General features: G+C 47.7%; 2 pseudogenes across 1 annotated transcript; both read right to left on the bottom strand.

Moving 5' to 3' along the window:
- Positions 1 to 1,980: 1,980 nt before the first annotated feature.
- GOLGA8EP (golgin A8 family member E, pseudogene) lies at positions 1,981 to 15,334 on the bottom strand (annotated as a pseudogene). The gene is made up of 18 exons (NR_033350.1): positions 15,163 to 15,334; positions 13,344 to 13,463; positions 12,699 to 12,758; positions 12,435 to 12,515; positions 11,220 to 11,579; positions 11,047 to 11,131; positions 10,842 to 10,951; positions 9,732 to 9,821; positions 9,518 to 9,625; positions 9,235 to 9,322; positions 8,609 to 8,865; positions 8,273 to 8,341; positions 6,829 to 6,904; positions 6,306 to 6,397; positions 5,637 to 5,737; positions 5,454 to 5,554; positions 5,212 to 5,364; positions 1,981 to 5,126 (listed from the first exon to the last, which is right to left on the bottom strand). The product of NR_033350.1 is annotated as a golgin A8 family member E, pseudogene (transcript).
- Positions 6,508 to 6,797, bottom strand: RN7SL545P (RNA, 7SL, cytoplasmic 545, pseudogene; annotated as a pseudogene).
- Positions 15,335 to 16,539: the final 1,205 nt, after the last annotated feature.

Raw genomic sequence — 16,539 nt, forward strand, 5'->3', positions numbered from 1 at the left:
GGATGTCCATACAAAAGGATTTAGCCATGACACGAGAATGTTCTTCCTGGCAAATCAATGGAAATTATTAAATGTGCAAAAGGGAACTGTTGGAATAAATTCTAATGCCTTCATATGATCGTATGTCGTAACCTTTTAAAATGATATTAAAGAGTTGCATACATTGACTTAAACAGATATTCATAACACATCACTGAATAGGAGAAATACGGGCCAGCAAAGAACATAGAGTTGGTCCAATTTCTACAAAAAAAAGAAGACTAATAGCATGACAGCAGGGAAGGGGGAATATGTCAATGTATGTGTGTATATATATGTATGCATAGCAAGTATGAACTTGAAAGGATATATATCAAATTGTTTACACAGATTACCTCAGAGAGGTAAATAACTGGCCTTTGGTGTTCTGTGTTCCATAGATTCTGAATTTTCTTTTTTTATTTAAATAGAGATGGGATCTTAGCCAGGAGCAGTGGCTCACACCTGTAATCCCAGCACTTTGGGAGGCTGAGGAGGGCGGATTGCTTAAGGCCAGGAGTTGAAGACCAATCTGGCCAACATGGCAAAACTCTGTCTCTACTAAAAATCCAAAAATTAGCCAGGCGCAGTGGCTTATGCCTATAACCCCAGGTACTCGGGAGGCTGAGGCATAAGAATTGCTTGAACCAGGAGGCAGAGGTTGCAGTGAGCAGAGATTGCACCACTGCACTCCAGCTTAGGCAACAGACCGAGACTCTGTCAAAAAATAAAAACAAAACAAAACACCACCACCAACAACAAAACAGTAATAAAGAGAAAATCTTATGGACAGGAGCAATGTCTCATGCCTGTAACCCCAGTGCTTTGGGAGGCCAAGATGGGAGAATCGCTTGAGCCCAGGAGTTCAAGACCAGCATGGGCAACATAGCAAGACCTTTTCTCTACAAAAAATTTAAAAATTAGCCAGGCATAGTAGTGCATGCTTATACTCCCAGCTACCTGGGCGGCTGAGGTGGGAGGATCACTTGAGCATGAGAGTTGGAGGTTGCAGTGAACTGTGATCACACCACTGGGAAGCCATGACCCCATCCCTGCCTTCTTCCTCTGTCCTATGCTAGCAATAAGTAAGTTTCCCAGCCACAAATAATTATTAGAACCTCCTCCCCATGTGCCACCTCCAACCACCGCTAGGTATGATACAGGGGTGGCCCTACCCTCTGGAATATACAAAACCTTACACAGACACAATATATACACCGGGGAAGGGGGGCCACCCCAGCAGCCCATGCCTTCGCCTGGTCCACAGTTAGCCCCACTGTCCTGCCTCAGCTACCTCTCTGAATAAGAAGATTCGAGCCCCCACTGAGGGAAAAGTTGCTATGGTGAGAGTAAGGAGGCCATGAGGCCTCCTCCAAACAAACCAACTCCACCAGCCTCTGGCTCTTAAATAACAATATCATCCAGAAATTTAAGGACTCAGCTCTGGTCAAGGTGGCAAAGGGTCTGTTTGTCTTTCCTCGTTAGACAGTGGTCTTGTCTTGCTACCCTAATTGTAAAGGGGTGACTGGGAAGGGGAGATAGGGACAGTGTGGTGGTGGAGAGACCCCAGCCCCACTTCTCCAGGCTTTGCTGACAGGGGCCTGCTTTTAATTTTAATTTTTATTTTTATCCCATGCCTTTTTTTTTAAATCCCATAACTTCTTTTTCATAACTATTTTTGGTAACTTTTCATAAAACTTTTTTCTACTTTTTGGTCACAAGATTTTTTTGCCACAACTTTTTTACATTTTTTATCCCATAACTTTTTCACCCCATAACTTTTGTTAATCCCATAACTTTTTTATTTTGTGTTCTTTTAATAAACTCTTGCATAGTTATATTACAATTTTGTAAAAATGAAACATTATCTCATGCCAAGCATGCTCAGCATTTGCACAGTATCAATACCTTTAATACTATATTTTTCAAGACACACAGAATAAAATTTTAAGGCAAAAACAGCACTTTGCAACAACTTAATAATTTATTACATTACAGTAGCATCACACCAGCAGTCAATAATGCCACTTTAGGCAAAAGTCTTTCAGTATTTCCGTTTTACATTCCGCTTACAAGAATTCATAAATTGGTAAAATTCATTCTAAGAAAACTTGGCAAATAAAGCTTTGGACTGGAATTGGCATTTCTTTCTCTACTTTTCCTTCCCACCATTTATTTCCTTTACAGTATTCATATTTTAAAATGTTTTAACTTATTTCAGAACATTAAGATAGCAGTTACATTGTTTAATAGTTATTTTAAAATGACTCTTTCAGATAAAGTTTTAGAGAAACTATAGTATGGATAGGGCTGATTTACATTTTCAAATTTTCTAAAAATCAGCTTTGGTTTTAGAGCTGATTTTTGTTCATTTCTGGAAAACCTATCAGATTTAATCCAATACTTTAAAAATGATTATTATATATTGCACTCTTTAAATCGGTGATTTGATTCTTCCTACAGAAATTCAAATTTATTGAATTGAACTCACATTTTAGAATTCTGTTTCTGATGAACTCTAACCTTCCAATGTTGCCTTCTAAGCAAATTGAAAGCTGCCTTATACCGAATGAGGAAGAATACCAATACTTGGCTGAATGAGGTATCGCAAAAGACTGCATGCACTTTGAAGAAAGACTTAAGTTATAGTCATGCGATTTCCATTCTTTTTAGCTTTTTCTTAAATATATGACAAATATCTACACAAAGAGTGGTATTTCTGTTAATACAGTCAATTTATTTTCCAGATTGACATTCAGCTTAAATATGCCAGTATGTGATTTAATCCATAGGCACCTGATGAACACATTATTGTCAGATTGGTTACAGATGCTCGTAGTTGTCTTTAAACTGAACTCAAAGAATGCAAAAACATCAAGTTCAGAAAATAAAAGGCAAGGACAGGACTTTAAGTGCATTTTAAAGCCACGGGCTAGAAATCGTACCACTGTTAACTAGCCGCATTATTTGGTCTAACATTTTTTCTTTATCATTCTGAAACTGGGTTTATCTAATACATTGATACATTCATACAATTTGGAAGAGTCCGTTGAAGTCACAAGGACCCGATATTTGCACTCTTTCAGTGATTGCCGGCAAATCTGTTATTCCATCGGCAAAATCGTACTGCTGCTCTCCTGTTAATGTCGTATTTATAAAAGTATCATGAGGATGCCAAATGCTAAAAATGGAGATGGTCTAGTAACTAGAAATCCCCACCCCAGGGAGCACACATACATATCTCCCTACATCCTAATAATGTGATGTGTTTTGGAACACAGACATTAGAACTTCATGAAGTTTTAACTGTTGAGTCTTTCCCAAGCATCATCAAGTTATGATTTAGGCAATGTACAACTGAAATTCATTCATTCATCATGCATAGGCACAATCACATAAATACTGCACAAAATATGCCCGTAAGTGAAACCCAGAGGTACAGAAACACATTTCACTCTTCACAAAGAAGTTTGTGAGGAAATATAACTCTGTGATTGTATAGACATGTTTCCTGATAATACACTGACATTCACCAACAGTAGATTGCACTGCAGTTTGTACACATTTTAAGTTGCATAAACTTCTCCTTGATTTTCAAAGATAGTATAATACTGTCTACTAAAACTCCTTTTTGTTTCAACTAAGCACTCTCACATATATTAGTTTATAACAATGTTTATTATTATTTCAAAGTGTTTTCCATTCAAGGAAAAGAAGTCAATTCCTATGTCAAAGTAACCAAGGTGGTTGAAGAATAGGCAGAGTGGTCTAGATGGTAAAATCAATCTTCAAGCCTCAAAGAAGCTCCATGAACAGAGGAATGCCAGGTGTCACACAGCTTTCCTTCACTCTAATTCATTCTTGACTAGAGCCTGTATGCGTGTTCCAGGGACATTTAAACTCTTAAAGGATTTCTTCTGATCTTTACTAAATACATTAAGAAGAATGCCAACCAGTGCCCTTTTGTGTACTGGGACATGCAGTCATGTGATTAAAACAGGTAACATGAACTCTGACTTTAAAATATAGATACAAATGCTCTAAGCTAGGAAAGGTTTTCCACATCCATAGTCAATGATGGGAACCTTTCATTCCTCAGAAATAAGCCCTTTTTAGGTCATCAAAAAAGAGTACAACTGCTGCAGCTCATGATGCAATATCTTCATGAGCCCAGAGCACATACAAATCCTAAAGGAACTACAATAGTACAGCACTAATTCTTGGCAACAGAACAAATGAAACACACTCTATCTTGCACATACCTGCCAGAGCAGGCAACTTTCCTCTTCTGTGAAATTTAAAAAGCTCCCCCAAAATGTTATTACTCCCATCACCAATACACAGAAAATGAGGGAAAGGCTGTTTCCAGTTCTCGGCCTTTAAACAACTCTAAATGTCAGTACTCTTGGTGGCATATTACAAAGTATTAAATAGTGCACACTTGGGGCAAACCACATATTGTGCTAATGAAGAGCTCACTGTGATTAAGATTAGATCAAACAATAGCAGAACATAGGCAAATTTTATCTGAATTCTGTAATGAATATACATGCTTCAATAACATTAAAAACACATGGCAGCCTATTCCAAACCAGCAAGAATAGTTTTGTGCAAATAGTGGGTCTTTGTGTGTTTGAACTCCCACCACGTAAGGGCAAACTCAATATGCATGCTAATGACCTACAATCATGAAATTGAAAAAGAAAATTGCGAAAGTATGCCAGAGTGAACATCAGTGAAAGCCACAGAGACCCACTCTCTTTTAACTATTTACAAATAAACTTAAACTATAAATTAGAAACACAAATAATCATAAGTGGCTATAACATTCAAACGAAGTAAATGAATTGTGTAGGAGATTAACCCCATAACTTTGTTTCTTTTTTAAAAATTTCTTGAGCAGGTCTTTGACGATGGTCATGTTTATCTCCTTCTTCTTGGCAGCCAAGCCCAGCAAAAGAATGGCACACAGCAGTTGCTGCCCAAGCCTGGGTGCTCCTGGTGGTCCTGCACGATCGGCTGTGCAGTAGGGTTGTCGTGGGGAGAACCCTCCCTGGCCTCTCCTTGCACAGGCTCCACGCTGTCAGTGAGGCTCACCTCACAAAGATCTTTGGAGAGAGGGAGGCGGGGATCTGAGCTCAGTGAGAGCCCCCCTGCTCCTGCCTGCCCACCCCGCCTGAGGGCTCTACTCACCACCATGCTTGTGGGCAGCCCCAAGCTCCTGGGGGGCTGGGGCTCCTGGACTGGGCTCATGAGCAGGGTTCTGGGCAGTCACCAAGAATTTGCTGTGTCCCTTGTAGTCGCCACCAGCTGCAACACCATCTCCTGCAGCTCCAGCAGCTTCACCTGGAGGGAGGGGTGCTCAGCTGTCACGCTGCTGCCAGCGCTCACCGTCACAGCCACCCCCACCCCCGCAGAGATGTTGCACACTCTACCTTCATCTCCTCCCTGTCCAGGGCCAGCCTGATGGTGTCCTCCTCCCGGTGCTGCATCTTTGGCACTGCCCCCTGGCTTTGTTATAGGGTGATAAACTTTCCTGCGGGAGGACAGGGCTCAGACGCTGGGGCCCCTCCAACAGCCCTGCAGCTCCCCCTGCCACGCCCTGGCCTCCCACTCACTGATGGCATCTCTCTCTGTAGTACTGGAAGAATCCAAGTTCTTCTTTCTCCACCAGCTCACTCAGGTCTGCCTTCTCCTCCAGGTGGTCCATAAAGCCGCTCTGGAGCCAAAATAATGGGGTCACATCTCGGCAGCGACCTGCCCTCAGGTGGCATTTTCAAGTCATGGAGAAGGCGGAGGTGAGTTCCGGCATGGGCCAGCTTCTCCATGACTTCCTGCAGGGCCCGGTGGGTCTCCCCACTCACAGACTCGCCCCCAGGCCCTGGGGCTGGGACCGCTGCCTCTGGCTCCTTCTGGGCCGAGGCCACCGGGTGAGCCAGGCGCTGGCAGCACACCCTCTGCTCTTTCACCTGCTCTTGTAACTGTGCCTGCTTCTCCTGGGCACTAGCTCCAGCGGACTTGAAAAATGCCACCTGAGGGCAAGATGTGAGCATTCTTCTAGGGGCATACACAGAAGAAATGGGGCAGAGAGGTGGAGCGCAGCCCCTTCCCTTGGGGCCTCAGAGAGTGCACCTGTTGGCCACAGGTGAAATGGTGTCTGACCACTGGCTCTCGGAAGGGGTGAGGGTCCAGAGAAATCAGAAGGCAGGGAAACGAAGAGCATAAAGGGGTCTTGGAGGGACCACAGAGAAAGGTGGCAAAATGGGTGCAGGGGGAGTCAGGCTCACCATGGCCTCCCTGCTCTCCAGGTCCTCTGGGACACTCGGCATGGGCCGAGGTGCCTCCTCCCCCTCACTGTCCAGATGTTCTCCTCCGTGTCCTGTTGGGGGTGGCCAGAGGGGTCTTCAGACAACTCAACAAGGGAAGTATTGTGGGCCCACCTCTGCCTCCACCCTCATTGTGTAACCCTGAGCCAGGCCCTCCCCAGAGAGGAATGAGCTGCTGTTATTTATTTTTACTTTGAAGAACCAAGATCTTGCTATACTGCCCAGGCACATTCCCACTACTGGTCGGTGTGGGAGTTCTGACCTGCTCCCTTTCTGACCTCGGCCAGTTCAGCCATCCTTAGGCAACTTGGTGGCCCCCCGCTCCCAGGAGGTCACCATATTGATGCTGAACTTAGTGCAGGCACCCGGTTAGTATAATGACCAGCTGTTCTAAAGGTCTCTTCCAACTCCTCAATCCTATGCTGCTAGCAGTCCCCCCTTCCTCCTGGGGCTCTCTCCTCTTCCTCTAAGCGGTCTCCCGTACCTTCCCCAGGGAGAGCCATGAGGCTCAGCTGGGCCGTTAGCTGCTGTTTCTGCTGGCTGGCAGCTTCCAGGCGCTCCTAAGGGGCCAGGAAAGAGTGAGAAGGCACAGAGTTTGTCAGGTCGTCCCCCTCACGGCCCCATCCTCGGCAGCTCCCTCCCCTGGGCCTCCTGCAACTTTTGGCAGGCCATCTCGGCCACCGCTTTGCCCCAAGCTTCCTGCTGCTGCAGCTGGTTCATTAGCTGGGTCTGCTGCAGTCACTGCCTGTACAGCGCCTCCTTCTCACAGGTCAGCTGCTGATAGGCGGCCACCTGCTGCTGATAGGTGGCCACGTACTGCTGCAGGTGACCCAGGTAATGGTCTGGCTGCTGCTGCAGACTCTGAGCCTCTTGGCTCTTCAGCTCCACCTGCAGGAAGACCCTGGGTGTGAGGGCACGTGGTGGCTGGTTTCCAGATTCTGGGCCCATTAATAGGGTAGCGAGGGCACTGTGGGGCTCTGTCGCCTGCCCAGGCCCCTGGCCCCTTACTCCAGGCCTAAGTGACTGCCTCCCTTTCCTAGAACCCCATGCCTCCTTCCCCAGCCTCAAATCTCATGTCCTCTTCCCACCATTTCAACTGTAGGCCACAGAATGGTAGAAAAGTAGTGGGAGCCAACCACCATCTGCTAAATGTGCTACAGGCCTAATGCTTCCCATGTATTATCTCATTTAATCCTCAGCACCTCTGTAAGGAAAATGCTAACTTCCTTTTGAAGTTAAAGAAACAGAGACTTAGAGATGTGAAGTACTTGAATGGTGACCAGTGGAACTGAGGCTGGAATCCAGTTTTAATCTAAGGAGTCTTTTTGTTTTGTTTTGAGACAGAGTGTCACTCTGTGGCCCAGGCCGGAGTGCAGTGGTGCAATCTCAGCTCACTGCAACCTCCACCTCCTGGGCTCAAGCAATTCTCGTGCCTCAGCCTCCTGAGTAGGTGGGATTACAGGCATGCGCCACCACCATGCCCCACTAATTTTTCTTCCTTTTTTTGTTTTTTGTTTTTGTAATTTTAGTAGAGATGAGGTTTTACCATGTTGGCCAGGCTGATCTCAAACTCCAAACCTCAAGTGATTCTCCTGCCTCAGCCTCCCAAAGTGTTGGCACTATAGGCGTAAGCCACCGCGTCTGGCATAAGAAGACTGTTATACCACTCTGTCTCTTCCCCTGTGATTGGCGGTGCTCCATGTCTCTAGCTGGAATGATGATGTCCAGACCTGGGAGGAGCCCAGGGCTACCCACCTCTAAAATCAGAGGGCAGGAAGCAAGAAACAGCCACAGGACTGCCCTGGAGGGTGCTGGGGTCACCTGCCCCCGGGCTGGAGCTGCCTCTGGCCTGGCACCTCCCCTCCCCAGAGGCTGGTGCCCACCTCCCAGACCTTCTTGGATGGGGTGGAGGTTACCGTCTCCTTCACCTTGCCTAGCTTCTCCTGCAGCTCCTTTACTTGCTGCTCCAACTGTAGTACGCTCTTGTTCTCATTGTTCTGGACAGAGAGAAGCAATCAGCAGCCACCCACTGCAGCTGGAGACCCCAGAACTTGGTGACTGCCTCCCATGGCACCGGGAAGGGTGGAGGCAGGTTAGAAAAATCATCCCCTGTCTCCCACAGCCACCAGAGCAGGGCTCTGGCTCACAGGTGCCTTTAGGAGTAACATTTCACTTGAGGGCTACACTGCCACATTTTATAGGTGGGGAAACAAAGGCCTGGAGGGCTAGGGAGGAGGGCAGGCTCCCCAGCTGGGGCAACGCACCAGCTCCTTGAAGCTGTTCTGTGGCTCGGCCAGCTGCTGAAGCCTCTCCTCCTGCTCCCGAAGCCTCTCCTGCTGCTCCTGAAGCCTCTCCTCCTGCTCCCGAAGTCTCTCCTTTTGCCCCTCATTCAGGAGACTTATGCGCTGATTGTACTCCACCTGGGCCTGGAGCGCTCCTGCCACTCTCTCTAGTTCCTTCCTCAGGTGCTGCAGCTCCACCTCAGAGGGCACTGCTGGGGGCTCCGGGGGCAAGGGTTCAGCTGAGAAAGGAAGCAGATAATAAGGGCCTCTGGATTCTCGGAAAAGAAAAACCCTCCTCTTGGCGCACAGCTCCTCTCAGGCTCCTCAAACTTGGCCTCACTGCTAATGATTCCTCGCACCCAGATGGTAGCCAGTCTTCCAAACCACTTTCAGAGAAAGAGCACTGCGGGTGGCTGACAACGGGCCCTCTTTGCTGATGGGGACACTGAGGCTCATTGAGATGACAAGACTTGCCGTCTCCTGGAACAGACCTCTTTCCCTCTGCCTCAAAGCCCTTCCCATCCACCCACCTCGCTGGGGCACTCCAAGCCACCCTCACAGCCCTCTGATGCCAGTCCTGCTGTCAGGTCACGCCAGCCCCATCTTACCCATCTGGTGTTTGAGTTTGGACAAGCTCCTCTCCAGCGTCTCTACCCGATATTTATCATGCTTCTTCTCCTTCTTCAACGAGCAAACCTGCCCAAAGCACAGGGGGAAAGGGCCCTGGAGAGAGGGGCTGGAGGCTGGACATGCTACCATCTCCCTCTCTGCCCCCACCTCCACAAAGCCCAGTCCCAGGACCACCTCTGGCTCTACTATTCCCATTTTACAGGTGCCCAGAAAGATCCAGTGACCTATCTAATGTGGGGGGGCTGAAGGGTCAGATCTCACCTCCTGCGACATTTTTCTCATCCTCTGCTGCCACCGGGCCCTCTCTCCTTTTAGATGTTCAGCATATTCATCCCTCTCTAGCTGGACTTCTTTAAGTGACTCCTTCAACTGCAAGAATGGGCACAGAAATTAGGAAGGGCTGTCACTGGTCCTCACCTGCTCCTGGTTACCTGGGGTCATCTTCCTTCCACATCCCTCCCTCTGAACACCTCACCTGTGTCAGCTGCGCTTTCAGCAGTGCCTGCTCCCGCATGGACTGCTCTAACTTCCACTCCATACGTGCTTTACTGCGGCTGGAGAACTGCTGAAGAGTGAGAAGTTTCAATCTGGGGAGGCCGGGCCATTCCACACAGTGCCCCTTAAAAGGGCCAGGGCTAGGCCCAATATACAACTCGGTCAGTAAAGATCAAGGCATTTCCAAGCCCGTGGTTTGGTTTTTAAAGAACTCAGTAAAGTTGGAAGGGACAGGGAAAGAGATCGAATTTATAGCTGGCTAACAGAGGCCCAGAGAGATCAGATAATATTGCTATTGTTATTACTGTTATTATTACCACTGTTTGAACTTTTATGGAGTGCTTCACCAGATACCATGCTAGCAATCCCATTTAATCCTCGCAACCACCATGGGAGACAGTTACTATGATGACCTCTATTGTGTAGATGAAAAAACATGGAGTATTTGAGGTTAAGTGCTTGCCTAAGATCACTTAGGCAGAGCTGGGATTTAAACACCCAGATCTATCCAATTCTCTAAGCCCATTTTTCTTGCTGGGGGTGGGGGCACAGCTAGGAAGGGGAAAATTAATCTTTTGTTCACTTTTTGAAAGGATAATACATTCACATAGTCCCAAACTCAGAAGGTACAGAAGGGAAGTATCTCCCAGCCACCCTGTTGCTCTCTCCTGAGTTTTTATGAACACTTGCAAACATATTTTATGTATATTATCATAATATGTACACACACACACACGTTTCCTCTCTCTACAGAAATGGTAACATACTAAAGGTACTCTTCTGTACCTTCACAGTACAAGTAGCCAATACCCCACTTAGGACTTGGCCAAGACCACAGCCAGGTAAAGGCATGGCAGGCACTTGGCCTCCAAGCTCTACGTCCTGTGTTCTCTCCCCAGAGTGCCCCCCAACTCACCCACAGCAGCTGACTCAGTCCCAAGCTGCCGCTAACAACCATACAAAAAAGCAGTGAGAAATGGCCATGCTGCCTTCTGGGCAGGACACTCCATCCTGCAGAAGGGACCTTTAGGCTCACTCCTCTGTCTGCGAAGCCAGGCTCCCAGGGGACGGGGCAGGTGGTTGGACTCACCCTCTCCGCCTTCTTCTTCTGTGTGGCGGTGACAGCAGAGAGAGCCCGCTCTAACTCTCCTTTACGCTGCAATGAATGTTGCAGACGGACGGCCAGATCCTTGGACTCTTCTGTAATGAGAGAGTTGAGATGGGGCCCAAAGGACTCCCCCTGAAGACCTGTCAAAGTCCCAGGTTGAAGGATGACAGGGTACCCAGATTCCCACCTTCAAAGTATCTGAGAGAACGTTTCGTGTGGTACAGGTCCGTATTTAGTTTCCCTTTCTGTATGTTCAATCTCTGGATTTGAACCTTTGGGAGAAAAGCCAAGCAAGTGCTGAAAGAGAAGGAAAGAAACATTCTCCGGAGGACAGGAGAAAACTGCACACCGTCCACTCACCTCTAGCTCCCTTTCGGCTTTCTGTTTCTCGTTGTTTGCTTTCTTTTCCTGTAGGAAGAGGAAGACAGAGATCTAACCAGGCAGAGGCAGAGATGGTACTGCAAGAGACATGTCCCCAGAATGCCACCACTGCCCCTGCCCCGGGACAGGCCCACCCATGGGACCGGGTTATCAGAGACCCTGTGGGGGATGGGGTGGACTCTGGGGGGTTAGCCTTCTTCCCCAGGCTGGGAGTGGGTGAGACGAGACTCGGGGCCTCTACATCTGAGTGTCCCCCAAACCGAGCAGTCATGTCGCGAGCAAACAAAGAAATCATGTTACTTCTTCCAGCTGATGTACCACTTGTTTCTTCTGTTGTTTCTGTGGGGAGAGTCACATTAAGGTGATGGAGGGTGGCCCCCTCAACTCTATTCCCCAGAGCAGGAAGTGGTAGGCAGGGACCAGGAATGGATTTTAAAGGCAAAGTTCTCAGACCCAGTGGGAACTCGAACTGGTAAACTCTCCTCAAGCTCCCAAGGACAGAGGATTTGGGTCTTTGTTGGCTTTTGCCCACAGCCACAGAACTCAAGGTCTGAATCTGGAATCTCTTGACAGGACAGTAACATAAACCTCTAGAGATGGAGTTTGAGAAAGGCCCCCCCTTCTGCCAGCTTGTGATTTAGAAAAGTGCATTCATTCAATAAACATTTACTGAGCACGTACGGGCCAAGTACGGTTCTTCACAGCAGATTTAGGGCGGAAAAGGACAGACAGGAGCCTTTGGCCCTGAGGTTTCCATTCTAGGAGGCCTTTAAATCTCAGACTCTCAGAGCTAACAGAGACCTATGATACTCACTACTTCCTCTGGAAACACGAGCCCAAAAAGGAGAGGTGGCTTGTCCAGAATCAAAGAGCAAATTAGGGACTGAGTCATGGCAGAAATACAGGGCCCCTGACAACCAGTCAGGCTAGCACTTCCCCAAGAGGCAACAATCCCAGGGCGTGTGTAGCAAGGACTCGAGCAGGGGCGTCTGGAGAGGGGAGAGTCAGCAAACAGGGCAGCAAAAAAAGAGCCATGCTGCATGCTCCGGGGTCCCTCCAGGTGAGGCCTGGGTGCCCCAGCTCCCTATTCGCCCTTGGCACCAGGGGCCCCTGTCCCCTTTCTTCAGGGCCCCAAGGAGAAACTAGAGCCCAGGATTGGCAGCGTGGAATCAGGGGACCCCAGTGGACTCTTACCAAAGATTTGATGGTGTTCTTCAGTTGACTGACTTTTACAGACCTCGAGTCTGGGACTACTGCTAGTTCTTGGCACGGGCTCTGAGGCGCATGCAGAGAGGAGGAGGTGGAGGAGGAGTGGGGGGAGAGGTAGAGAGAGCAATCATTAGGGCTGGGGTGTGTGTGGACTGTCTCAGCTGGCAGAGGGGCACCCCGTCCCACCTGGAGGAGGAGGTTGGAGGGCTGCCCTGCAGGGTCACTGCACCTCTGCCCAGAGCCTCTTACCTCCAGATCCTTCAGGGTAGCAGATGATGTAGGGCTCTCCCCGTGGATACCTGTTGCTGACTACAAGAGATGAGAGTGCACATGAAGATGTTCTGTCCCACTCAGTATCTAAGCCCTCTGACTTCTTTTCTTCCCCATCAACTGGCACAATTTTCTTTTCTGCCTATCTTGGACCCTTTGTCCCATAACTCCTTTGTGCCAACTTCTCTCATGGTTCTTATCTCCCCACCACAGCACCCTGCGGCCCTTTCAGTGACTCCTGTGCCAAGTGACTGTTCTCATTGTCCTGGCTTCCCCTTGAGACTGGGGATGAGGAAAATCGAACAGCAATGACCATATCCTGGGTGTTCTGGGTGTTTACAGCAGGCCATGTACTAGGGATTAACATAAAAACAACAATAACAGATCTCATTTAAACTTCACAAATGGAAGTGAAACAATACCACCTCTATTATACAGATGTGAAAAGAGAGGCCCGATGAGGTCAAGCAACTTGCCCTAATTCATATCCCTAGCAGACAAAGAGGCAGGATTCAAACCCAGAATTCTTCACAGGTACCCAACAGTCCATCCACAATCTTAACAATTACCCTCTAGTGCCCCTTGGGTCCCCTGTCCCCAGGAACCTAGTCAGCCAAGACTCACATCTCCAGGTGAGTGGCAACCACCAGAAGTGGCTGTCTCATGGATGCTGCCATTTGTTTTCCTGTTCCTCTTGGCTCCTGCTGGAACACCAGGGCTGTTTCTCTGCCAATATTCTTTTAACTGTCAGAAACAAGAGCAGTAATACTCATGAGAACTATCAGCCCCTGCAGCCACATCCTCCTTTACAGTTTTTATAAAATACTCTTATACGCCATCTGATTTAATGATACCAACAACTGTACAAGGTGTTGTCACAATCATTTAGTGACTCAAAGAGATTGATATCATGGCTAGAAAAAAAAAGAAGAAAAGAAAAAGGCGACAGACGAACTTTGAAACTCAGTCTTCTGACTCCAAACTCTGGGGTATTACCAAGAATCATCAGCTGCCAGGGACCAAAACCAGAGGCAGAGCTAGAAAAGTAAACATTAAGTTGGCAGGAACTGTATGCCATGTGGTTTAGAGTCATACATCCTCACACGTCTGTTAGTGTGAAGAAGTGCACCAGTACCTCTCAAACTCTTATATCAATGTATCCTCATGGCAGAAGGCAGCCTTTCTGTTAAATCTGGGAATTTATCAGAAAGAGGACAACCCAAGCCTCATTTCAGAGAGAGGTCTGGTATACTCTTAGAAACCTATGTGACTGTCATCCCTAAGTACATTAATGTTTTTTCTCTTGATCTCAAGAGAATCAATGGAAACTGATGCTTCAGAAAGATGTCCCATATGTATCCTGTGGCACTCAAAGTACCCCAGGTTTACATAATATGAGGAAGATTCAAGCTGTCAAGTTCAGTTTCCCAAGATCTATTCCACAGAAGATGAGCAAATCTCACTTCACAGACCACTGACTGAAGGGCAGTCTGGTCCCAGAACCATGGAGAATTAGAATGTGAGGTGGAGAACTCACAAAAAATTTGTTAAAATCTCTCTGGAAAGTAGAAGCCTGGGAGAAAACCAAACCAAGTCAAACCCATTCTCCAGTTGCCATCCAGAGGTACTGTCAATGTTTTGAGCTCACAGGGGAAGTGTAGGCTTTTCCCGCTGTCAATGTTTATGTTAAGGGAGTGAGGCAGCCTGAAACCTCTTGCTCCTAGGTCCCAATCTCCATTCCCCTTCCAGCTGGAAATTTGTGCTGTGACAAGAGGAACCAGAAATGGGGTGGCAATGCTTAGGGGACTGGGTCATAAGATCAAAGGCCAGTCTTGCAGTAATGACAGTTACTGGATGGACCGTGACATCACTACATTCCACTCTTCCTGGTGAGGGGGAGGGACCACATCAGCATGATGTCCGAGTCACCGCTCCATGATAGGGGAGGGAAAAACAGAGCTGGGACCCAGGTCCTTGGAGACGCCAGTGCACACAGCCTAGGGAGGTCCACCTTGAGGCAGCAGGAGGGAAGGGAAGAGTCAGCAGCAGGGAGCCCCAGGATTCACCAGCCTAAAGTCACCCAGGGATGACTGGTGAGGGTGGGGTCTGGGGCTGTGGGACCCAGGTCCTTGGAGATGTGAGCCCAAAAAGCCCTGGGAGGTCAAGCTTGGGGTGGCAGGAGATGAGGGCCCAGTAAAGGAGCGGGGAGCCCCAGGATTCACCTGCCCAAAGTCACCCTGGGGTGATTGGTGAGGGCAGAGACTGGGCTGCTTGCTGAAGGGGTGGGGCTGACTGGCAAAACTTTGGTGGGGGTAGCCCAGAGGCACCGGTGTGGGGGTCCCAGTCCGGTGAACCTCGGGATTGGTATGGACTCTGGCAGCAGTCTTGTCGTTGGAGAGGATCTATGGCTGGGTTGGGGGTCCGTGACCTGGTGTGTTTTTACCTTTCTCTTGGCTGCTGCCAATTTACTTTGTCGAGTTTCTTCTGCCATCGCAGGGTGGGGAGGGAGGCGGGCTTGGGGCCACATCAGCAAAATCCCACCAAGCACTGATCAACACCTCCAGTCACCTACCAGGTAGCTGTGCGACTGAGCCAGAGGAGGCGTAACCAGGGATGCAGTAGAAGGCAGAATAGGGGCGTGGCCTTAATGCTCCAAGCCCATTGGTTAATGAGAAAGATGAAAGGGAAAGGGGGCGTGGCCAGGCATCATGTGTCCAGAGGGACCTTTGGCTCACAAGGAAAGCTGCCCATGCAACCACTGTCCCCACCCACCCTAAGAGAGGGGAGAGGCCGCCAACTCTGGGAGAGGGGCAGGGCCGGCTTTTGCTTTAAAAGCTTTTAAAAAATATATATGTGTATACTTTATATATATGTGTGTCTGTGTGTGTGTACCTGTGTGTTCCTCCAGAGCTGTCTTCATGATCCAGCTTCTATGCAAGGTCTATGATTTTGGCCTATATTTTTCATAGAGTACAAAAATTACCAGTATTACCTTAACCGAGATACAGATCCTATGAAAATGGAAAATCCATAGCATGCTTGATGATTACTGAAGCAGACTATATTATCCAACATTCCAATAAGATAAAATAATCACAATGACTTCTCTTTTTTGGAAAAATGTTTCTCTTATTCTCCTACGTTATTGTGAAGACTTTTTTTCTTAAACAAGAAACGTGTAATATTTGTAAAAACACAAAGCTTTTGGGCCGGGTGCAGTGGCTTATGCGTATAATTCCAGCACTTTAGGAGCCTGAGGCTGGTGGATCATGAGGTCAGGAGATTGAGACCATCCTGACTAAAAAGGTGAAACCACATCTCTACTAAAAATACAAAAAATTAGCCAGGCGTGGTGGTGGGTGCCTGTAGTCCCAGCTACTTGGGAAGCTGAGGCAGGAGAATGGCGTGAACCCAGGAGGTGGAGCTTGCAGTGAGCTCAGATCGTGCCACTGCACTCGAGCCTGGGCTACAGAGCGAGACTCCTTCTCAAAATAAATAAATAAATAAATAAATAAAACTTCTATTTCTTTCACTTTCTAATATAATTTTAATATCTCCTCCTGGGATTTCACTAAGACACATTTTGGACCTCATTCTGATCTTCCTCTCCCCTCCAAGCCCACCAACTTCTGCCCTATCATCTATCCTCATGTCTCTCTGTGTGACATGCTGACTTACTTTTTGGAGAGAATCGTCTAAACAATTAATTCTTTCTTCTCGTGTCTAATCCATCCACTAGTTTCTTATTTCAACAATTACATTTTTATTTCCTTATTTCATTTTATTCTGAGACTGAGTCTCATTCTGTCACACAGGCTGA

The sequence above is a fragment of the Homo sapiens genome, chromosome 15 (genome assembly GCF_000001405.40).
Source record: "Homo sapiens chromosome 15, GRCh38.p14 Primary Assembly".
Lineage (NCBI taxonomy): Eukaryota > Metazoa > Chordata > Mammalia > Primates > Hominidae > Homo > Homo sapiens.